This window comes from Homo sapiens, chromosome 17 (assembly GCF_000001405.40).
Source record: "Homo sapiens chromosome 17, GRCh38.p14 Primary Assembly".
Taxonomy (NCBI): Eukaryota; Metazoa; Chordata; class Mammalia; order Primates; family Hominidae; genus Homo; species Homo sapiens.
This window is the reverse complement of record NC_000017.11, coordinates 49,395,439-49,418,938: the sequence shown is the minus strand read 5'-3', so window position 1 is coordinate 49,418,938 and position 23,500 is coordinate 49,395,439. Positions and strand designations below refer to the sequence as shown.

Genomic DNA, 23,500 nt, shown 5'->3' with positions numbered 1-23,500 from the left:
CCAGAGACCTTTGTTCACGTGTTTATCTGCTGACCTTCTCTCCACTATTATCCTATGACCCCACCACATCCCCCTCTCCGAGAAACACCCAAGAATGATCAATAAATACTAAAAAAAAAAAAAAAAAAAAAAAAAAAAAGAAAGAAAAGAATCATTATTGGGTAAAACATCAAAAAAAAAATTTATTGAAACAAATGAAAATGGAAACACAGGCCGGGTGCTGTGGCTCATGCCTGTAATCTCAGTACTTTGGGAGGCTGAAGTGGGCGGATCACCTGAGACTGGGAGTTTGAGACCAGCCTGACCAACATGGAGGAACCCTGTCTCTACTAAAAATACAAAATTAGCCAGGCATGGTGGTGCATGCCTGTAATCACAGCTACTCAGGAGGCTGAGGCAGGAGAATGGCTTGAACCCGGGAGGCGGAGGTTGCGGTGAGCCAAGATCACGCCATTGTACTCAAGCCTGGGCAGCAAGAGCAAAACTCCATCTCAAAAAAAAAAAGAAAAAAGAAAAGAAAAGAAAATGGAAACACAACATACCAAAATATATAGGATACAACAGAAGCAGTGCTAAGACAGACATTGATAGCAATAAGCACCTACATCAAAAAACTAGAAAGTTTTCAAATAAACAACCTAACAATGCTCCGCAAGGAACTAGAAAAGCAAGAACAAACCAAACCCAAAATTAGGAGAAGGAAAAGAATAATAACGATTACAGCATAGCAAAACAAAACAGAGAGTGAAAAAAATTTAATCAATGAAATTAGACATTGTTTGTTTCAATGGATAAACAAAATCAATAAACTGCTAGTTAGACTCAACAAGAAGAAAAGAGAGGAGACCCAAATAAATAAAATCAGAAATAAAAAATGAGACATTACAACTGTTTCCAGAGACATACAATAATTCATCAGAGACTATTATGAACAACTACACATGAAAAAATTGGAAAACCTAGAGAAAATGGATAACTGGACACATACAACCTACAAATATTGAACCAGGAAGAAACAGAAAACTTGAAAAGACCCATGACGAGTGATGAAATTGAATTAGTGATAAAAAGTCTCCCAAAACAGAAAAGCCCAGGAACAGATGGCTTCACTGCTAAATTCTACCAAACTTATAAAGAAGAAATAATACCAATTTTCTCAAACTATTCCAAAAAAACTGAAGAGGAAGAAATTCTTCCTAACTCATTCTATAAGGCCAGAATTACCCTGACACCAAAATCAGACAAAAACACAACAAAAAAAGAAAACAGCAGGCCAATATCCTTGATGAACATCGATGCAAAAATCCTCAACTAAATACTAGTAAACAAAATCCAACAGCACATCAAAAGGATAATACACCATGATCAAGTGGGATTTATTCCAGAAATGCAAAGACGGTTCAACATACATAAATCAATAACCGCGGATACATCACATCAGCAGAATGAAGGACAAAAACCATATGATCATCTCAATAGATGCAGAAAAAGCACTTGATAAAATTAAACATCCTTCGTGATAAATATTCTCAACAAATTAGGCATAGAAGAAACATATCTCAACATAATAAACTCCATAAATGACAAACCCACAGCTATCATCATATTGAATGGGGGAATAGAGGAATGCCTTTCTTCTAAGAACTAGAAGAAGGCAAAGATGCCCACTTTCATTACTTATTTATTTATTTATTTATTTATTTGAGATGGAGTTGTGCTCTTGTTGCCCAGGCTGGGGTGCAATGGCGTGATCTCGGCTCACGGTAACTTCTGCCTCTCGGATTCAAGCATTTCTCCTATCTCAGCCTCCCGAGTAGATGGGATTACAGGCATGCGCCACCATGCCCGGCTAATTTTTTTTGTACTTTTAGTAGAAACGGGGTTTCTCCATGTTGGTCAGGCTGGTCTTGAACTCCCGACCTCAGGAGATCCGCCCACCTTGGCCTCAAAGTGCTGGGATTACAGGCGTGAGCCACCGCGCCCGGCCCACTTTCATCACTCTTAATCCACATAGTACTGAAGTCTTAGCCAGAGCAACCAGGCAAGAGAAAGAAATAAAAGGCATCCAAATTGGAAAAAAGGAAGTCAGGCCAGTGCGAATGTAGTGAGTTATCTCAATCTCACAGTAAGTTACAGATTGAACTCCTTGTTCTACTCTTTCCCCACTTCTCACTACTGCACTTGAGTAGTCTTAAAAAAAAAAAAAATCAAATTGCCCCCTTTGAAGATGACATGATACCTAGTATATAGAAAAATCTAAAGATTTCACCAAAAATCTCTTATAACTGATACATTCAGTAAAGTTGCAGGATAAAAAATCATTATACAAAAACTAGCATTTCTGTACACCAATAAGGAATTAGCTGAAAGAGAAATCAAGAAAGCAACCCTACTACCTAGGAAAAAATTTAATCAAGGAGGAAAAAGACCTCTACAATAAAAACTACAAAACACTGATGAAAGAAACTGAAGAGGACACAAACAAATGGAAAGACATCTCGTGTTCATGGATTGGTGGATTGGAAGAATTAATATTGTTAAAAATGACCATACTTTTTTTTTTTTTTTTTTTTTTTTTGAGACAAGGTCTCGCTCTGTCACCCAGGCTGCAGTGCAGTGGCACAGTCACAGCTCACTGCAACCTTGACCTCCCAGGCTCAAGCAATCCTCCCACCTTGGCTCCCGAATAGGTGGAACTACAGGTACATGCCACCACATCCAGGTACTTTTTATTTTTATTTTTGTAGAGACAGGGTTTCAATTTGTTGCCCAGGCTAGTCTCAAACTCCTAGGCTAAAGCAATCCTCTGTCCTTGGCCTCCCGAAGTGCTGGGATTACAGGCGTGACCACCACGCCCAGCCCTCACGTTCTTATTCCTATGTGGGGGCTAAAAGAGTTGATCTTATAGAGGTAAAAACTAGAATGAGAGCTGAGCGCGGTGGCTCATGCCTGTAATCCCACCACTTTGGGAGGCCGAGGCGGGTGGATCACCTAGGTCGGGAGTTCGAGACCAGCCTGACCAACATGGAGAAACCCCGTCTCTACAAAAATAAAAAATTAGCCGGGTGTGGTGGTGCATGCCTGTAATCTCAGCTATTCTGGGAGGGTGAGGCAGGAGAATCGCTTGAACCCGGGAGGCGGAGGTTGCGGTGAGCCGAGATCGCGCCACTGCACTCCAGCCTGGGCAACAAAAGCGAAACTCCATCTCAAAAACAAACAACAAAACAAAACAAAAACAAGAAAATAAACACACACGCACACGGAGGTGGGGCGGCGGAGTGGCGGCAGGGAGGAGGAGGGGAGAGGTAAGAAACAAATGATAAAACAAATGAAGCAAATTGTTAACAATAGGTGAATCTGAGCCAAAGTTTAACGTGCGTTCTTTTGCCCTATTCTTGCAACTTTTCCAAATAAAACGTTTCTCTAAAATCATGTCTAGGGGACCTGGATTCCAAGCCGAGCCCCTTTTCTCACTCGGTGCATGACCCTGAATGAATTCCTTCCTCTCGGTTGGTCTCAGTTTTTCAGCACAGATGGTTCTCTCTGGGTCTGGTAATCAACGTCTCACAACTCTGAGGACGTTTGCAGACAGGGCTTTGGAAGGAAGACGGCCCTTCGTTTCCCCCAAAGGGTCTCAGCCTGCCGGTGATTTCACCACGACTTCCTCCAGAGTTCCACCTGTCCTCTTCATCAGCCATGAACTTGCCCCTACTAATTTTTGCCACCAGCTGGACGCCCACCTCCTCTTTCCCGGAGCCCTAAGGCTCTCCTTGCGGCAGTCTTAGCCTCTGTACAGGATAGGCACGTGCATTTAGCCCCAGAAAACTACAGCCCCCAAAAGGCTTTGCGGCAACATCCTCGCGTTGATCACCAAAGAGAAAACGCTTTTCTCCGCGGGCCCGCCGCTGCATAGCCTTTTGGGAGTTGTAGTTCATCTGCTAAGAGCCGCAGAACCAGGGTGAGGTTCTAAGCCACCCTTCCCAGAACTCACAGCGCTCTTCCACACCAATAGGAAGCGTGGATCTTGGAAAGCGGGCGGGGCAGAGGAGCTCATGCGCAGTATGTGTGGTTGGGGAATTCATGTGGAGGTCAGAGTGGAAGCAGGTGAGAATGGAGGGGGCGGCAAAGGCTCGTTTCTGGGCATCTCTGCAGTCCTCCTCTGCTCCATGATGTGCACTTTGGGCGAGGAGAGTGCGTGCGTGAGTCCGACTTGTGAGGGAGGGGAGAAGGGGCTGAGCCCGGGACGAGCCAGGGGTTGCTCAGAGTAAGGGAGGTGTCCATGGAGGCAGGGTGAGGAATAATCCAGAAGCTATTACAAATGTAAAGGGCCGGGTGTCCCAGCCTCAGAGAAGGAAGATTTAAATGCACTGGACGAGATCAGGGTAGTCTCAGGAGTTGAGGTCTGGGAAGTAGGGAGGGAGGATTTGAGACTGGAGCGGGCAACGACGGTGGGGCGGAGCGTTAGAAAGTTACATGCTGGCGTGATTTCTAGTTAGGTCAACTGTGCTTATGCCCACCCCGCCTCAGCCCCACCCTCCCAGTTATTCCAGAGCTCACTGTCCCTGTGCAGCTAGTTAGAGCCTTTCTCCCAAATGGGTTCTTCAGTTATCTTGGCCCCAGGATGTCATCCAGCTCCTGCTTCCATAAGAAGCATGTCGTTCTTAATACACGATGTTGACAAGCAGTATGGTGAGGAGGTAAGCTGTGTCTGCTAGCATTAGACCTCTGGGTTCTAATTCTGGTTCTACCACTTAATAACTGCAATCTCGGCTTCTCATGTAACCTCTCTGTGTGCCTCTGTTTCCTCTGTAGTAATATGCTTCATAGGGTAATTGTGAGAAGTAAATAAATTGCTTTTATTAGGCTACCTGATATAAGTGTTAGCTGTTACGGTTACTTTTTTTGTTGGCATCAACATGTAGCACATTTTTTAAGTTATTTTTTTCAAACCATAATTGCACCAATCTAACCTCACAGCCTCTTTTTGGGGGCCTACTTGTCCAGGAAATGAGAGGGTGGTTTAGTGTGGTGCTAAGTTCTCTGTGGATTTCAAGCCCATGCATTGTTTTCATTATTGAACCAAGTGTCCCAGACACCTTACTTTAAATGGTTGAGAAAAAAAGAGAAATCAGCCAGGCATGATGGCTCATGCCTGTAATCCCAACACTTGGGAGGCCGAGGCAGGGGGATCACTTGAGCCCAGGAGTTTGAGACCACCTGGGGCAACGTAGCAAGACCCCATCTCTGCAAAAAATGAACAAAATTAGCCGGGCATGGTGGCACACTTCTGTGGTCCCAGCTACTTGGGAGGTTGAGGTGAGAAGATCGCTTGAGCCTGGGAGGTCGAGGCTTCAGTGAGCTGAGATTGCACCACTGCACTCCAGCCTGGGTGACAGAGCAAGACCCTGTCTCCAAAAAAAAAAAAAGGAAAGAAAAGAAACTGAAAAAAAAAAAAAGCAGAAGAATTGATAGTACACTTTCCAAGCTATAAAGCATTATTTATTAGGTATCCTTCAATGGATGATTTAGCACTTTCAGGAATGGGGAAATAAATAGCCAGGTTGAAAAGTGACTGTTGTGTGTCAGAGAGGGCCTTCTCTGAGGATTTGGCATCAAGTTTGATTGTATTTTGTTTTTATCCCCTTAGGTGTGAGAGGGTCCAGCAGAAGGAAACATGGCTGCCAAAGTGTTTGAGTCCATTGGCAAGTTTGGCCTGGCCTTAGCTGTTGCAGGAGGCGTGGTGAACTCTGCCTTATATAATGGTGAGGCATGGAGGGACAGTGGGTCACTGCACTTTCCTAGGAGTTTTCTGTTGGTCTGCATAGCCCATGTGACACTCTTGATGGTAGCTGCCGTCAGTGAATGTGTTTGTGGCCAAGAGGGCTCACCTCCTGCCATTTCATACCACAGGACTGCATTGTTATCAGAGCCCCTGACCTTTCAGTCATAGGTTCTCTCAGAGCCTGTATTCAAAAAGAGCTTCCCAGCCCACTTCCTAGTTGGATGTGTCCAGTGGCTTCTGTCAAGGTGAAGTGAAGCCGCACCACCCAAATGCTGCCGCACAGTGTCTGGATTTCCCTGGCTATCTGAAATGGAGATCTCATTTGTTCTCCTCTGCTTGCATGTGGAATAACAGCAAAGGCTGCAGATCTGTTTGGGTGACCTTGTCCTGAACAGGAACTTTTGCTGTGCTGAATTCGGGTAGTTTCAGAGAAAGTATCTTTGAGATGCATTGCCCAGCTTTTAACAGTGTAGGAGGGAGGTTAAGCTGGCTTTTCTTCCACTTTACTGTGGAAGCTTCCTCATTGGTCAAGCAATGGATTTGACCTGACTTTATCTGTAGGACCTCCTTTAATTCTGACATTCTGACACTTTCACATGCTGCAAAGCAGCAATAGATTGACCCATCCGGTGTGTGGCTGGCTGACAAGAGGAGCTTTACTTTCAGAGTGAAGATATTTGGACCAATGATAAAGTTCAGAGAGGCAGCTGATTAGAAAAGCCTGCTTGGCTTATATGACACATCTTAGCAGTACTGTGATCCTTTTGGCCACATCTGCAACTAGACAGAAATTGCCATCATAAATTTCTCTCTGTGCCAAGACAGCTCTATAACCCCTTAAAACTTTAGCGAAACAGAGCTATTAGGAAGAAAGAGTAGGCTCTTCGAAATGTAGGATTCCCATAATGAGGGTGCTACTTCTGGGAGCACTAGGTTAAATTGGAGCCCGATGGATATGTGGTAACTGGGAAGACCTCACTGAGTTTTAGAAGTTTTGGTAGATGATTCCTGGAAATATGTTGGTGGGAGTTCAGGGATAGAATGGTCATTCAGAAAATCAACAGCCAGTTCCCTCAAGGAGAAAGGATGCTAAGGAACAGGTCCTATTACCAATCCTTGGGGACATGTGGAACAGGAAGTGACTGCTTAGTTTTGCAGCTAGTTAGAAGTCTCTAGAGACCAGGAGTTGGGGAAGACAGAGAGAAGAGGGGAGACTTAATAAGTGAACAGAAAGCACCAGGGCTCTTTCAAAGACATGATCCTTTTGTTTAAAGGATGAGAGGATTTTTATGACATGTCATTGTCCTTTCTTCCTAGTGGATGCTGGGCACAGAGCTGTCATCTTTGACCGATTCCGTGGAGTGCAGGACATTGTGGTAGGGGAAGGGACTCATTTTCTCATCCCGTGGGTACAGAAACCAATTATCTTTGACTGCCGTTCTCGACCACGTAATGTGCCAGTCATCACTGGTAGCAAAGGTGAGTCTTGCCTATGGTTCAGGTAAAGTAGGGAGTGTGGAAGAGGTGCTCTGTTCTTCTGTGTCACAGGAGCATCTGTGGGATACCAGGATCCAAAAGAGTTTGAACTGTACATCATAGGAATGACTAGACTACTTGCCCTGGAGAGCTTGATATGGAATCTTAGAAATACCCACTTATGGCTGGGTGCGGTGGTTCATGCCTGTAATCCCAGCACTTTGGGAGGCTGAGGCAGGTGGATCACCTGAGGTCAGGAGTTCAAGACCAGCCTGGCCAATGTGGTGAAACCCCATCTCTCCTAAAAATACAAAAATTAGCCGGTGGTGGGGGGTGCCTGTAATCCCAGCTACTTGAGAGGCTGAGGCAGGAGAATTGCTTGAGCCTGGGGGGCGGAGGTTGCAGTGAGCTAAGATTGTGCCACTTCACTGCAGCCTGGGCAACAGAGTGAGACTCTGTCTCAAAAAAAAAAAAAAAAAAAGCCTGCTTCTAATCTTCCCATCTCTTTGGAATTTCTTTCCGTACTGTTTTGCAGTTGTTTTCAGGATACATTATGTACCTATTTCTAAAACTATTGATAGGAGCTTCCAGAGATCAGGGAGTTGTAGGTATTAATACATTGCCCACCTCTCTTGGTGCCCAGTTCAGGGCTGTCTCATGGGCGCTTGGTCCATATTGTTGACATCTGTAAGCAAGCCGTGACAGTGCTTTGGCTCCAGGCAGGCCTGAATTGTCCAGGGGAAAGTATAATTCTCTCCCTGGATCCTTTAAATGGTCCAAGTAATGAGAAGCAGAACATAGGATCAGTCTGTTAACCCCTTATATGTGTTACACATTTGACAGAGTGCTTTTACGTCTGTTTTCTCCTTCAATTTTCCCCAACATTTCCGCAAGGCCCAGAAAGCAAATGAAATTGTCCCCATTCTCATAGACAGGGAAATAAGCTCAGGTTGGCTAAGGCTTAGAGAGGCCACATCATTAGTAAATAGCCCAGATCTTTGGACTGATAGTCTAACACCGTTTCCACCAGACCCGAACTAACCTCTCCAAGGCTGACTCCTGACTTGGCCACAATCACCAGAGCATGTAAAGGCCTCACCCTACAATTCTTAGCATTGCCCTGTCTATTGTCTTAAAATGTTCAGTGTTGCAAACTTTGCATGGCACCTGTTAGACATATAATCTGAATTATGTATATCTGAGGGCATTCAGGGGATACCAAAAAGCTGCTATCACTGAAGCCTCTTAAGAAATTATAAACTCTTTATGATGCTCTATTGGGTTCTCTGCCAAGGAAACCAGGCATACCTGCACCTTGCCCTCTGGGATCTTATAATCAGCAGATTTGCTTATAAATTGTAGCAAATTTGGAGCCAGGCACAGTGGTGCGTGTCAGCTACTCAAGAGGCTGAGGCAGGAGAAATGCTTAAGCTCAGGAGCTTGAGTCTAGCCTGGGCCACATAGCAAGACCTTGTCTCTAAAAATAAAAAATAAAAATTGCCAGGCGTAATGGCTCACACCTGTAATTCTAGCATTTTGGGAGGCTGAGGCAGTTGGATCACTTGAGCCCAGGAGTTTGAGACCAGCCTGGGAAATATGGCGAAACCCCAGCTCTACAAAAAGTACAGAGATTAGCTGGGCGTGGTGGTCTGTGCCTGTGTAGTCCCAGCTACTTGGAAGGTGTAGGTGGGAGGATCAACTGAGCCCAGGAGGTCAAAGCGGCTACAGTGAGCTGTGATCTTACCACTGCACTTCAGCCTGGGCAACATGTGACCCTGTCTCAAAATACATAAATAAAAATTGTAGCAAATTGGAGTAGGAGAGGTCATATAAAAGACCACTTGTGGCCAGGTGCGGTGGCTCACACCTGTAATCCCAGCACTTTGGGAGGCTGAGGCAGGTAGATCACCTGAGGTCAGGAGTTTGAGACCAGCCTAACATGGTGACACCCTGTCTCTACTAAAAATACAAAACAGCTGGGTGTGGCGGCGCGTGCCTGTAATCCCAGCTACTCAGGAGGCTGAGGCAGGAGAATTGCTTGAATCTGGGAGGCAGAGGTTGTAGTGAGCCGAGATTGTCCCATTGTACTCCAGCCTAGGCAACAAGAGCAAAAACCTGTCTCAAAAAAAAAAAAAAACAAAAAAAAAACACTTGTTTTCCTACAGTGGTTTTTATTTTTAACTCCAGTGTTTGTCCCCTACCCTAAGATTTACAGAATGTCAACATCACACTGCGCATCCTCTTCCGGCCTGTCGCCAGCCAGCTTCCTCGCATCTTCACCAGCATCGGAGAGGACTATGATGAGCGTGTGCTGCCGTCCATCACAACTGAGATCCTCAAGTCAGTGGTGGTGAGTGAACAGGGGCCTTTAGCCTCGAGCCCAGAGCACCACCCTGGGAGGGTGCCAGGTGGCAGGAAGCGCTTGGCAGTGGGTTGGTTGGGATGTGGCTGCTAGTTTCCTGGTTCCTTTTCTGCTTCCTCATTAACCTGACCTGCCCTTCTGCTCCTCCCTTTGAAACCAGGCTCGCTTTGATGCTGGAGAACTAATCACCCAGAGAGAGCTGGTCTCCAGGCAGGTGAGCGACGACCTTACAGAGCGAGCCGCCACCTTTGGGCTCATCCTGGATGACGTGTCCTTGGTAAGATCCTTCGGGAGACCGAGGAGGGGAAGGGGCTGCAGTTCTCGTTTAGGTGCCTGGCTCCATTTCTGGGTAGACGCTATTAGGTCCTCCCTTCTGCTTTGCTAGATGTGAGACTTGAAAACACGGAAACATGCTGAGGTGAGGCAGTCTCCGTGGGTTTTTCAGTTGAGGGTTCTTTTACCTTCCCCCTGCCACACACATTTTTCTTATGACCTCTGGTTGTATCCAGATAGTCTCTAACCACTAAATGTTTTACCTTCTCCAAACTGTTACCCAGAGAGTGATGCCTTGTTAACCCTGTTTGACACAGGCAGAAACTGCCTGGTAGAGACCAGAGAACAGCTCGGGTAGTCCTTCTCCCTAGCACAGACCTCCCAGCCTGACTCCTGGGAGCTTCCTAACACTTTACAGTCCGAAGCTCAGTGAAGTAAGCTCTGGGAACCCCAGTGAAAGGTGATAGAGTGTAAACGAACGGTTGGATTCCCCCAGGCCTGGTATAGGGGGCAAGGGACATCTCTGAGGCGTAAGCTATCCTCTTGAGACACTATAGCTTGTGTGTTTATATGACATTGGATGTCATAACTCAGAAAGCAATGCAGGCAGGATAGCGTTTCAGGTTGAGGAGGGTGAGGGGAAGGGGTCGTGTTTCTAGATTCTCTGGGAAAAACCATTTGGAGTGATTTGTTCGGGCAGTGAGGTAAAGTGTTTCCTGTTCAGTTCTCCCGTGCATTGCTAGGGAAAGGCACTGCCTCCCCCGGCATCTGTGCAGCTGTTTAAACAGCCACTTGACAACACCCAGTGCTAACCCCTGGGCACTGCTCCACCTTGCTCCGCCTGCTGGAAGTCCTGGGGGCTTGGGGCTCCCTCTGCTGGCAAGAGGCCAGGCTGCAGCCATTCTGTGGGCCCTTCCCTCGTAATTACCGTTAACCTGAACACCTTGGCTGTGAGAAAACGCTGAGTAAAAACCTAAGGGAAAAGTTGGCATTTTACTAGACTTTAACCACATACTCCATTCTGGGGAAATGTGGGCTGACCACAAGAAACCCTATCTAAGGTGTGAGAAGAAAATTAGGTTTCATGGGGAATTTGCTGCCCTCAGCTGGCCCTTGTAGAAATAAATTTTATTCCTTAATTATACATTTCATTTTTCATGTCTCAGGATCAGATTTTCTTACCCAAACTTTGACTAAGAAACTAGAAATGGATCAGGCGAAGTACAACAGCTGCAGTTAGAGTTAGGAGGTTAAAAATTCTGGAAGAGAATGAGACCAGGATTTACTCTTCAGGAGAAGTTTGGAGCTGCTTTTTTAAAAAGCAGAGGTTGGGAGAGTGGAGGAAATGAAACAACTAGAATTTGATGGCAAAACCAATGCTCTTCTCTTGATTCTTTTTCAATAAAAATTAGGATGAATAAGTAAATTGCTCTAGGCTGGGCATTAGGAATTCTGAGGTCCCTTCCCATTGTTTGTGCTATCTTTAGGGACAGTCCCGTCAGACCTGACATGATTAGGGAAGGTCTATGGATCATCAGACTTCTAAACCCTCATGCCGACCAATGACTTTACCTGCTTTCTCTTTCTTTTAAACCGTTTAACAGAACCATTCACATTGGGAATACCATGATTTGCGTTCCACCGTCCCTCGTCCTCTTCCTGTTCAGTGGTGGAGCTGCTGTGGGAAGACGCGGACTGGTTAATCCATAAACAGAGAGCATCAGGCTCTTGGATCCCTGGGAACCAGCTGCCTCCCTCACTCTCAGGGACCCTGTTTTCCATCTGGCCTTCCTTGGGCTTTGAACAAGGCATCAAAGGCCCTTGGAAGAGCACTAGTCAGTGGCGGGGGTCTTAGAACCCACAGTTCTCCTCCTCTGGGGAGGTGGTCGATTGAGTAGATACCTTCTGGTGCCTGTGGGCCCCATCAAAAGCCCCCGGTGCCATTTGCTACATGAGGTCACTGTACTGAGAGTGACAGAGTAATATACAGGAGCAGTTTGGGCAGCCAGAGAGTCTGGGTGTAAACTCAGTTTGGATACAGATACGGAGGTGGAAGAGTGTTCTGGCCTCACGGATGCCTCCAGCTGCTAGAGCCATTGCTGGCCTCTTCTTCCAGCGGCCATGGAGCCCTCCCAGCAGTGCTGTCGAAGCAATCACACTGCCTCATCTTGTGCTCACTCTCTCCCCTTAGACACATCTGACCTTCGGGAAGGAGTTCACAGAAGCGGTGGAAGCCAAACAGGTGGCTCAGCAGGAAGCAGAGAGGGCCAGATTTGTGGTGGAAAAGGTGAGCCTTCGACCAGATGGCAGGAGCCTCTCTCTCCCCTTTCTCCGGCACTCAGCTTCCCCATTTGCTGGGTGGCCTGGAAATTCATCATCTGTCATCCCTTCTTCCGGGATAATCAGAAGGGGCTTGAAGGAATTGTACTTCTGCAATTGGTTCCAGAGTCTTCAGGGGCTAGTCAAGGATATGTGGAGTTATGTTCCTAAATCACTGAAGGGTAATTTTTCTTCCACTTCTCTGAGATCAAAAACACTCTCTTACAAATAAAAATGTTTCTCCTGGAGTATTTTCAGCTTCACTGAGAAGTCATTTTTAACCATAGTTACATAGTGAAAGCTGACAGCAAAAAAGATCAAACGTTGCACCAGATGTGCTTTCGTCACTAGATTTTTTTCTAGTGCTAAATCCATCCAGATGTGTCAAAGAATGTGATGGGACACAGTGTATTTGCGTAGCAGCCTGGTCTTTCTGGTATTTGCAAAGACATGTTCATTTATTGTTGTCCCCTTCTTCCCACCACCAGTATCCCTAATTGGTGGGGAGATGGGGACAGCAAGAAATAAAATGGGAAAAGAGGGATAGATTTAATTTTGGAGAATGAAAACACTGTGTGGGCAGAGACTTGTGTTGCTTTGTATCTGCCATAACTTCAGAGATTATAATAAGTCTAGTACAGTGCCTGGTGATAGTAGGTATACAGTAAATGTTTGTTGAGCAAATAGACGCAGGGCCCAGTCATTTCAAAATTGTATGTAATTTCAGGGAGGCTTAATACTGTCTTCTTCCTCACACTCCTGAAGGTCACACGTTGCAGAGAGCTGTCTTCCTATTGATATTGGTAGGGCAAGCCTAGGAGATCTCACTCTGGGTGCCTGGATTCTGGTCAGGAACCAGCCTAACTCACAGGCAGCTCTAGGAACAGTCAAAAGTGCATGCTGCTCTTCCTTAGCCATCCCGAGGTTTTTTGTTTGTTTGTTTGTTTGTTTGTTTGTTTGTGACAGCTCTGTGGCCCAGGCTGGAGTGCAATGGCATGATCATAGCTCACTGCAGCCTTGGCCTCCTGGGCTCAAGTGATCCTCCTGCCTCCGCCTCCCAAAGTGCCAGGATTACAGGCATGAGCCACCACACCCGGCCCTGTCCTGGCTTTGATGAAGTCCTTTAGACTTAAGGCTGGAGGAAAAGATGAGCCTTGAGGATTGATTCCACCTTTCTTTTGCTTCTGTTTTCCTTGGCCTTGGCTTCTCCTGGCTCAGAGTAGGGTTGTTAAACTAGATTGCAATTAATATTAATGAGGACTTTGAAATAAGACAAATATTCCTGCAGCCAACAGAGATGTATCCCTCCCGTGACAAGGAGTGAGCATGAAAGGATAGGGGAGGACTGGTGGGCAATGTGCTCTGCTTCCCCCCGCTTCCCCCGCTAGCCATCAGGAGGAAGTAAACTCCCCGAGTTCCTTCAGGAGCCTGGGAAGGTGGCTTTCTGGTGAAGGGCCTTTGGTTGTAGCCTGACATGCGGTGCCCTGAGGTTTGATCTTTGTCTCCACCTCCATTCTTTTAGGCTGAGCAACAGAAAAAGGCGGCCATCATCTCTGCTGAGGGCGACTCCAAGGCAGCTGAGCTGATTGCCAACTCACTGGCCACTGCAGGGGATGGCCTGATCGAGCTGCGCAAGCTGGAAGCTGCAGAGGACATCGCGTACCAGCTCTCACGCTCTCGGAACATCACCTACCTGCCAGCGGGGCAGTCCGTGCTCCTCCAGCTGCCCCAGTGAGGGCCCACCCTGCCTGCACCTCCGCGGGCTGACTGGGCCACAGCCCCGATGATTCTTAACACAGCCTTCCTTCTGCTCCCACCCCAGAAATCACTGTGAAATTTCATGATTGGCTTAAAGTGAAGGAAATAAAGGTAAAATCACTTCAGATCTCTAATTAGTCTATCAAATGAAACTCTTTCATTCTTCTCACATCCATCTACTTTTTTATCCACCTCCCTACCAAAAATTGCCAAGTGCCTATGCAAACCAGCTTTAGGTCCCAATTCGGGGCCTGCTGGAGTTCCGGCCTGGGCACCAGCATTTGGCAGCACGCAGGCGGGGCAGTATGTGATGGACTGGGGAGCACAGGTGTCTGCCTAGATCCACGTGTGGCCTCCGTCCTGTCACTGATGGAAGGTTTGCGGATGAGGGCATGTGCGGCTGAACTGAGAAGGCAGGCCTCCGTCTTCCCAGCGGTTCCTGTGCAGATGCTGCTGAAGAGAGGTGCCGGGGAGGGGCAGAGAGGAAGTGGTCTGTCTGTTACCATAAGTCTGATTCTCTTTAACTGTGTGACCAGCGGAAACAGGTGTGTGTGAACTGGGCACAGATTGAAGAATCTGCCCCTGTTGAGGTGGGTGGGCCTGACTGTTGCCCCCCAGGGTCCTAAAACTTGGATGGACTTGTATAGTGAGAGAGGAGGCCTGGACCGAGATGTGAGTCCTGTTGAAGACTTCCTCTCTACCCCCCACCTTGGTCCCTCTCAGATACCCAGTGGAATTCCAACTTGAAGGATTGCATCCTGCTGGGGCTGAACATGCCTGCCAAAGACGTGTCCGACCTACGTTCCTGGCCCCCTCATTCAGAGACTGCCCTTCTCACGGGCTCTATGCCTGCACTGGGAAGGAAACAAATGTGTATAAACTGCTGTCAATAAATGACACCCAGACCTTCCGGCTCAGCCATGGGTTGGTTTTTTGTTTGTGGGAGCCGTGGGATCAGAACAGAGTGTTCTAGCAGTTTTTGTGTGTACATGTTTGCATTGCCAGCTGGGACAGAGTCTCCAGTAAGGCAGAAAATGCTTTGTTTTCAGAAAACACTTTGTGTTGTGTTCCAGATCCATCCCCAACCCGAAGGGAATCTCTGTGGTAGCAGGTGAGGTTTGTCATGGGATAGGCAGTGAAGGTAGGTGGAGGGCAGTTAACTTGTTCTGTGTGTTTTGGTGCCACTACTCACTGGGAGTTACAGGCCTGCCCGCCAACTGCCAGCAACACCTTCCCCCAATGCTAGGGAAGTGGTTGACGTAAATAATGTGTCCGGTAGCCCTCAGTTAGATGGCTTGGGGCACTCTGCAGTAGGTTTTTTTTTTTCTCTTGTTTTCTTTTCCTTTCTTTCTTTTTTTCTTTTCTTTTTTTTTTTTTTTTTTTTTTTTTTTTGAGGCAGGGTCACACTTTGTTGCCCAGGCTAGAGTGCAGTGGCATGAACATGGCTCACTGCAGCCTTGACCTCCTGGGCTCAAGTGATCCTCCTGCCCTAGCTTCCTGAGTATCTGGGACTACATGTGTGTGCCACTATGCTTGGCTAATTTTGTATTTTTTATAAGAGACCAGGTCTCACCATGTTACCCAGGCTGATTTTGAACTCCTGGGCTCAAGTGATCCAGCCTTGGCCTCCCAAAGTGCTGGGATTACAGGCGTGAGCCACTGCGCCCAGCCAGTGGGTTTGTATTGCTTATTCTGCTTTGCTTTGACAATAGGGAAATTGGAAATGCCTTGGCATTTGAGGGGAGCTGAGTTTGTGCATTTTGGATGATGGGGAGGGAAAGCCCACCGCAGGTTGAGAAATGAACTGTGTCAATCACCCACCCCAAATCCTTCTAGGAACAGAGTGGAAACAGCATGCAGTGAGTGGACAGCACTGACTGTGCTTTAAATCTGCTCTTCATTTAATCCCCAGGCTCACCACCTGGCCACAGAGAGGGGTCTTTAAGAAGACTCCACAGGCTGCTCTCTGACCTGGATTCCACATTTCCTCCCCCAGAGTGATCGGGCCACCACCTGTCAGCTGGGGAAGAGGGAGACCCGATGCACAGATTTGGGATGGAGCCAGGGATTGAGTTCTCCCAATCCCTGCATCCTGCACCCCTCCCAGGGCCTCCCAGCAGCCATCCCGGGAGCAGACCACAGTGTGTGGTGGGCTCCTGACCCTCAGCTGCACCTCAAACCTCCCTCCCGTGAGCCTCCCCGCATCCAGCCCATCTCCCTGCCGCCTCCCCAGCATCATTTATCTCAGGCCTCAGGATATCTCTTCCCACTTTGGCTCTTTTGCTGTAAGAATAGGCTTTCGAATGATGAGGTGCCTGAACTCAAAGCGCATTAAAGATTGGAGCAGAAAGAGCCTAATTCCTAAATAAGTTCCAGACCAGCTTCCACTCTGCGCCCTTCCTCCTTTTCCTGCTGTTTATTGCTTTGGACACCCTTTTGGGGGTGGGAGGACAGGAGGCTCCTCTCTCTTTCCCAGGCTCTTTTTAAAAGAGCAGTTGTGTTTCCTGCATTTGGCGGGAGATTGGGTTTCATCCTCCAGGTGTCTGTAGGGGAGCCCTGAGCTGCAAAGCTGCCTTGCACTGCTTTGAGGTTGCTAGTGCCTTCAGGTCAGCCCTTTCAGTGGCAGGAGGGCCAGGTTTCCTGCTGGCTTTGCCATTAGCCTCCCTGCCAGGGATGGCAAAGGCATATCCCAGTGGCAGCCCAGGGGCCTCATTTTGCCTTGACTTCCGCCAAGTAATTCTTTTCACAAATGTTCAAGGGCTGTTAACCAGCTTCTTAGCCCCTGATGGCCTCTGGGTTTCTCCAGAAACTGCCACAATGGGCCTTTATCAGCTCGGGATTCTCTGGGCCTTGGATCAAAAACCATGTCCTGTCCTGGCCAGGGAAGGGAGAGCAGGAAGTGTCTTCCTCCCTCTCCCCTTTGGTCGGGCTGAATAGTTCCCTTGTTCAGGCTATGAAGGGCGAAGAAGGCAGTGCACCCTGGGCAGGGAGAGGAGAGAAAAACCCTCAAAGGGTTGCCATTTTCCTGACTTCTGCTAGTTTTACACAACTTCCGCCAGTGTGGACTGATGGGGAGGAGGAGCGTTGTGTTAATCTCATGGGTTTATTTGAAATACAGGAAAGACAGTGGAATATTAGTCAAATCCCGCCTTAGCAAATAATCTAGTTACATTCCAGCCATCAGCCCCAGGATGTGCAGTTAGGTCCTCCCCTTGACCTCTGCAATCCACCAATAATTGTGCCAAAGCAGCCCACCCAGATTGAAAATTACCTGGGTGAGAAGGACGCAGGAAGCTGCAACTGATTGGTCTGCCTCTCATAGATCTTCCATTCATTCTGTACAGTGCTCCAAACTTCATTTTTCTTTTCTTTTCTTTTCTTTTTTTTTGACAAAGTCTCGCTCTGTCACCCAGGCTGGAATATAGTGGCACAATCTCGGCTCACTGCAGCCTCTGCCTCTCAGGTTGAAGTGATTCTCCTGCCTCAGCCTCCTGAGTAGCTAGATTACAGGCATGCGCTACCACACCCAGCTAATTTTTGAATTTTTAATAGAGATGGGGTTTCACCATGTTGGCCAGACTGGTCTTGAACTCCTGGCCTCAAGTAATCTACCCACCTCAGCCTCCCAAAGTGCTGGGATTATAGGCGTGAGCCAACACCCCTGGCCCAAACTTCATTTTTCTAAAGCAGATCTCATCCCCTCCACAATGAAGAACCTTCAATTTAGTGCAATGTCTTGTCCTGACATTCAAGGTTCTCCGTGTACTGGCTACCCCTTTCTAGCCTAACACTATTTTACTGCTTACCTCACAAACCTACCTAGTGGTTCTCACAGGGTGGGGAGTGCTGTTTGAAAATGCAAGCGGGCCAGGCACGGTGGCTCACGCCTGTAATCCCAGCACTTTGGGAGGCCGAGGCAGGTGGATCACCTGAGGTCGGGAGTTCAAGACCATCCTGGGCAACATGATGAAACCCCATCTCTACTAAAAATACAAAATATTAGCTGAGCGTGGTGGCGGGCACCTGTAATCCCAGCTACTCAGGAGGCTGAGGCAGGAGAATCGCTTGAACCCAGGAGGCGGAGGTTGTAGTGAGCCGAGATTGCACCACTGCACTCCAGCCTGGGCGACAGAGTGAGACTCCATCTCAAAAAAAAAAAAAAAAAAAAAAAAAAGGTGATATTGTAGACATCAAGAGAATGGGTGCTGTTCAAAAAGGAATTCCCCACAAACATTTCCATGGCAAAACTCAAAAGAGTCTACAGTGTTACCAGCAAGCTGTTGGCATTGTTGGAAACAAGGGCAAGAATCTTGTCAAGAGAATGAATGTACTTATTGAGCACATTAAGCACTCTGAGAGCTGGAATCGCTTCCTGAAACATATCAAAATAAATGATCAGAAAAAGAAAGACGCCAAAGAGAAAAGTATGTGGGTTCAACTGAAGCGCCAGCCTGCTCCACCCAGAGAAGCACACATTGTGAAAACCAATGGTAAGGCGTCTGAGCTGCTGGAACCTGTTCCCTATGAATTCATAGCATAATAGGCACAAAATAAATAAATAAAAGACTTCTGGACCGTTAAAAACAAAAACAAAAACAAAAACAGAGCTGGAAGTTGAGACTCTTGAGTTCTCCTCTCATGCCATAGGTCAAGTTATCTCCAGCTGCTCTGAATCAGGGTTTTCTGGGTCTAACTGGCCAACCCAACCACCAATGCCACCTCCCTTCCCAAGACCAATTCCTCAGAATAATATCTATCTCACTTCCTGTGGGTGTCCACTTGCGGACTGTCCCCTCCCTGTCACCTACTCACAGCCCACTCTCTCCTGCTTCTGTCTGGAACACCACGCTTCTCTCTTCCCTCCTCTAATTCCTGACCCTGTGCCTGTGAAGCTCAGCTTAAAATCCCCCTGCTCCAGGAATTCACCTCTGGCTGACCTCTTCCAAGCTTTCCTTGTATATAAAATCTCCCTTAATAAAAGAGGCATTGGCTCCAGAGTTCTGGCAACACCAGGGTAGAGAATTTAACAAAATGGAGTGATGAGGCCTGCCCCAGCCAGTAGGGACTAAGGTGACTCGGTAAGGCCCAGGTGCACATAGTCGAGAGAGAGAATGGGTGGAAATGTACTGGGGAAACCAGTTTATAGCTAGGGGCATGGGAAGGAGGGGTGGCTCTCTAGCACCCTCTAATCAAGCCACTTCAGAAGAGAAAATAAAGCTGAAAGGGTAAGGCTACTTTTAGGGAACTTAAAGCTGTTGCCATCCTTGGAGACTGGGACAACCCACTTGGATTAGCCAGAAAAGCTATGATCATTGAAAGGCTTGGACCATCTAAGTTTGGCTGAAAGAGGTGCAAACACTGGTCAGGAGTTGGCAAGCTATATAACCTGTGGGCCAAATACAGCCTTTCACTTGTTTCTGTATAGCTCATGAGCTAAGAATGATGTTTACACTTTTTTTCGTTTCTGACATTTAACTTGAATTTTTACACTTTTAAGTGCTTAGGACAAAGTCAAAAGAAGAGAATATTTTGTGACACATGAAGGCCAGGCGTGGTCACTCACGCCTGTAATTCCAACACTTTGGGAGGCCCATATGGGAGGATTGCTTGAGGCCAAGAGTCTGAGACCAGCCTGGGCAACATAGTGAGACCCCCATCTCTAAAAAAAAAAAAAAAAAAAATCAAAAGATAAAAAATTAGCGGGCCAGGAGTGGTGGCTCACGCCTGTAATCCCAGCACTTTGGGAGGCCAAGGCGGGCGGATCACGAGGTCAGGAGATCAAGACCATCCTGGCTAACAGTAAAACCCCGTCTCTACTAAAAATACAAAAAATTAGCCAGGTATGGTGGCGGGCGCCTGTAGTCCCAGCTATTTGGGAGGCTGAGGCAGGAGAATGGCGTGAACCTGGGGGGTGGAGCCTGCAGTGAGCCAAGACTGCGCCACTGCACTCCAGCCTGGGCAACAGAGCGAGACTCCATTTCAAAAAAAAAAAAAGATAAAAAATTAGCTAGGTGTAGGAGTGCGTGCCTGTAGTCCTAGCCACTCAGGAGGCTGAGGCAGGAGAATCATTTGAATCTAGGAGTTTAAGGTTTTAGCGAGCTATGATCAAGACACTGCACTCCAGTCTGGGTGACAGAGGAGACCTTGTCTCTAAAAAAATAATAGGGGCTAAGTACGGTGGCTCACGCCTGTAATCCTAGCACTTTGGGAGGCAGAGGCAGGTGAATCACCTGAGTCCAGGAGTTCAAGACCAGCCTGGACATAGCGAAGCCTCATCTCATTAAAAAAATAAATAAAAATAAAAATAAGTATTCTATAATATATGAAAATGTGAAATTCATACTTCAGTCCATAAGTAAATTTTTTTTGGAATATAGCTATGCTCCTCAGCACTACAACAGCAGAGCTGAATAGTTGCAGCAGAAACCATATGGCTTGTACAGCCTAAAATATTTGCTATCTATTCCTTTATGGAAGAAGTTTGCTGACCCCTGGCTGGGTGTGGTGGTTCACATCTGTAATCCCAGCACTTTGGGAGGCCGAAGCGGATGGATCACTTGAGGTTAGGAGTTCGATACCAGCCTGGCCAACATAGTGAGACTCTGTCTCTACTAAAAAAAAAAAAAAAAAAAAAAATTAGTTGGACATGGTGGCAGGTGCCAGTAATCCCAGCTACTTGGGAGGCTGAAGCAAGAAGCAGAGGTTTCAGTGAGCCAAGATCATGCCACTGCTCTCCAGCCTGGGCTACAGAGCGAGACTCTGTCTCAAAAAAAAAAAAAAAGTTTGCTGACCCCTAACTTAGGGGATTTGATAGCCTTGGAGAAGAGAAGGAAGAACCCCAGAATTTGGAAGTCTCAGGCAACAGGAGGGGCTGAGGGATTTAAGTCAGATAGCAATGTAATTGTCACCAGTCTTTGATTGTGTCCAAGGCTATGGTGATCTGAGAAGCAAAGTCACATTGGGGCCCTGGCACACAGATTTATAACACCTGCTGTTCTCTGTGGCTTACACATGTTTCTGAAATGGCAGTAGATGAGAACGAGGGTAGCAAGCAGGTAGGAATTAATAAGGAAGGTCTCCTGGTGGTCTGAGGTTGAAAACCACTTCTTTTCCACTCCTTTGGTCTCCAGGGAGTGTTTGCTGCTGGACTGTCTTTCCAAAGCAAGGAGAGGCCACGGCCGAGGAAGGGAGCCCAGTGTAGCAATGAATCCCAGACACTGGGGCCTCTGGGAGCTTTAGCCTCTGGGTGGAGGAGTGTCTTGACTAAGCCCATATTTGTCCTGGACAACTAGAAACTCCAAAAGAACCTACGGGTGCTCTTTACTGTGAACTGTGCCAGAGCTAATCTTTAAGAAGCATTCAAGAATGAGCTTCTTTCCTTTGTTGCCTCTGCCAAGCTCTTATGTGCAGTGCCACTTCCCTCTTCCATGTCCTACCTTTCCCCTGCTCAAGGTTCTCTTCAAAGCTTACTTTCTTTAGGATTCCTCTCCTGTCTAGCTCCACCCCCATTGAAACCACAACAGCACAGAATTGAAGAGGAGGCTTTCAGATCCTCAGGAACACCCCTTCCTTTGGGTGAGGAGGGTAAGGAGGTTTGCACAATGTCCCACAGGGTATGAGTAGCAAAGCCAGGGTTGGGATGTAGGTCCCCAAACTCTCCATCTAGTGCTTTTCCTATCCCATCTCTCAGCTTCAAATGCTCCAATATCTGGGGCACCTTGGCATATAAATCCTTCCTTTGCATCCGCAGATGGGTGGCGGCATGTGTCCTGTCCATTCCCTTCATACACACTCTTTCATCCCCAGCTAGACTGGAAAAGTGGGGAGACAGAGACAATGTCTTCTCTTTTGAAAGTCCCTTCATGGGCCGGGCGCGGTGGCTCATGCCTGTAATCCCAGCACTTTGGGAGGCTGAGGCGGGCAAATCACCTGAGGTCAGGTGTTCAAGACCAGCCTGGCTAACATGTTGAAACCCTGTTTCTACTAAAAATACAAAAAATTAGCCGGGTGTGATGGTGCATGCCTGTAATACCAGCTAGTCAGGAGGCTGAGGCAGAAGAATCGCTTGAACTAGGGAGGCAGAGGTTGCAGTGAGCCGAGATCGTGCCATTGCACTCTAGCTTGGGCAACAAGAGCGAAACTCTGTCTCAAAAAAAAAAAAAAAAGCCCTTCATCTTCATGCCAGTGAACTACAGCAATGCTTGCTGACACTGAAACTGTGCTGGGCTGGACTTCCCAGGGTTCTCACTCCAGAAGGCAACTCAGTTTAGTGGAACTAGTGCAGGTTCTAGAACTAGAAAGATGTGGGTTTGGGCCAGGCGCGATGGCTCATGCCTGTAATCCCAACACTTTAGGAGGCCAAAGCAGGAGGATCATTTGAAGCCAAGAGTTTGAGACCAGCCTGGGCAGCACAGCAAGACCTCATCTCTACAAAAAAATCAAAAAATAAAAAATTAGCCAGGTGTGGTCATGCATACCTGTAGTTTCAGCTACTTGGAAGATTGAGTTGGGAGGATTGCTTGAGCACGGGAATTCGCATCTGCAGTGAGCAACACTGCACTCTAGCCTAGGCAATAGTATTAAATCCTGTCAAAACAAACAAACAAACAAAAAGCCGGGCTTGTTGGCTCATGCCTGTAATATCAGCAGTTTGGGAAGGTGAGGCAGGTGGATCACTTGAGCCCACAAGTTCAAGACCAGCCTGGGCCACATAGCGAGACCCTGACTCTACAAAAAATTTAAAAAATAGCTAGGCATGGTGGCACATGCCTGGGGTCCCAGCTACTCAGGCTGAGGTGGCAGGATTGCTTAAGCCTGGGAGGTCGAGGCTGCAGTGAGCTGTGATTGCACCACTGCACTCCAGCCTGGGTGACAGAGAGAAAGCCTGTGTCAAAAATAATAATAATAATAATAATAATAATAATCTGGGTTTGTATTCTGACTCTGCCACTGAATAGCTTGGGAAACCTTGGGTAAATTACTTAAATACTTCAAACAGCCTTATTTTTTTCCTCAAGAAACTAAAGATACGAATATTCACATTGTAGTGTTATTGAAGAGTATATGAGGTGATTGATGTGAAGATGCTTTCAGCCAGAGCCATGATGCATTTATCAGTTTTACACAAGGGCCTTAGGCACTGCTGTTGTTAGAAGGAAGGGTTCTGCTGGGCGTGGTGGCTCACACCTGTAATCCAAGCACTTTGGGAGGCCGAGGCGGGTGGATCACCTGAGATCAGGAGTTAGAGACCAGCCTGACCAATATGGTGAAACCCCATGTCTACTAAAAATACAAAAGTTAGCCAGGCATGGTGGCGTGTACCTGTAGTCCCAGCTACTCGGGAGGCTGAGACAGGAGAATTTCTTGAACCTGGGAGGCGGAGGGTGCAGTGAGCCAAGATCTCACTACTGCACTCCAGTCTGGCCGACAGAGCGAGACGTCTCAAAAAAAAAAAAAAAAAGAAGAAGAAGAAGAAGAAAGAAGGGTTCCATGGCCAGGTGCTATGGTTCATGCCTGTAATCCCAGCACTT

General features: G+C 47.2%; 1 protein-coding gene and 1 pseudogene across 5 annotated transcripts, besides 1 other annotated feature; both read left to right on the top strand.

The window, feature by feature from the left end:
• PHB1 (prohibitin 1) lies at positions 4,057-14,887 on the top strand. Of its 5 annotated transcripts, none has more exons than NM_001281715.2 (8): positions 4,057-4,104; positions 4,606-4,697; positions 5,648-5,762; positions 7,100-7,261; positions 9,466-9,608; positions 9,781-9,897; positions 12,085-12,180; positions 13,735-14,887. In NM_001281715.2, the coding sequence occupies exons 3-8, from the start codon at positions 5,675-5,677 to the stop codon at positions 13,945-13,947; spliced, it is 819 nt and encodes a 272-aa protein (NP_001268644.1). In that variant the 5' UTR covers positions 4,057-4,104; positions 4,606-4,697; positions 5,648-5,674; the 3' UTR covers positions 13,948-14,887. The 5 variants fall into 5 exon arrangements, with proteins under 5 accessions (NP_001268644.1, XP_016880252.1, NP_002625.1 ...); XM_017024763.2 differs by having other exon boundaries at positions 4,057-4,199; NM_002634.4 differs by lacking the exon at positions 4,606-4,697.
• Positions 4,180-4,279: an enhancer, noted in NCBI's record as "active region_12361". NCBI's record gives its function as "activates an Ori minimal core promoter by ATAC-STARR-seq in GM12878 lymphoblastoid cells {active_cell/tissue: GM12878}" and the evidence as "EXISTENCE:reporter gene assay evidence [ECO:0000049][PMID:35858748]".
• Positions 18,139-18,543, top strand: RPL21P124 (ribosomal protein L21 pseudogene 124; annotated as a pseudogene).

Bases quoted from the DNA above. Each gene is read 5' to 3' on its own strand.
- PHB1 (NM_002634.4), top strand. From the start codon at position 5,675: ATGGCTGCCAAAGTGTTTGAGTCCATTGGCAAGTTTGGCCTGGCCTTA. The intron at 5,763-7,099 runs GTGAGGCATGGA...CTTTCTTCCTAG, and splicing joins GAACTCTGCCTTATATAATG to TGGATGCTGGGCACAGAGCT. The intron at 7,262-9,465 runs GTGAGTCTTGCC...CCCTACCCTAAG, and splicing joins AGTCATCACTGGTAGCAAAG to ATTTACAGAATGTCAACATC.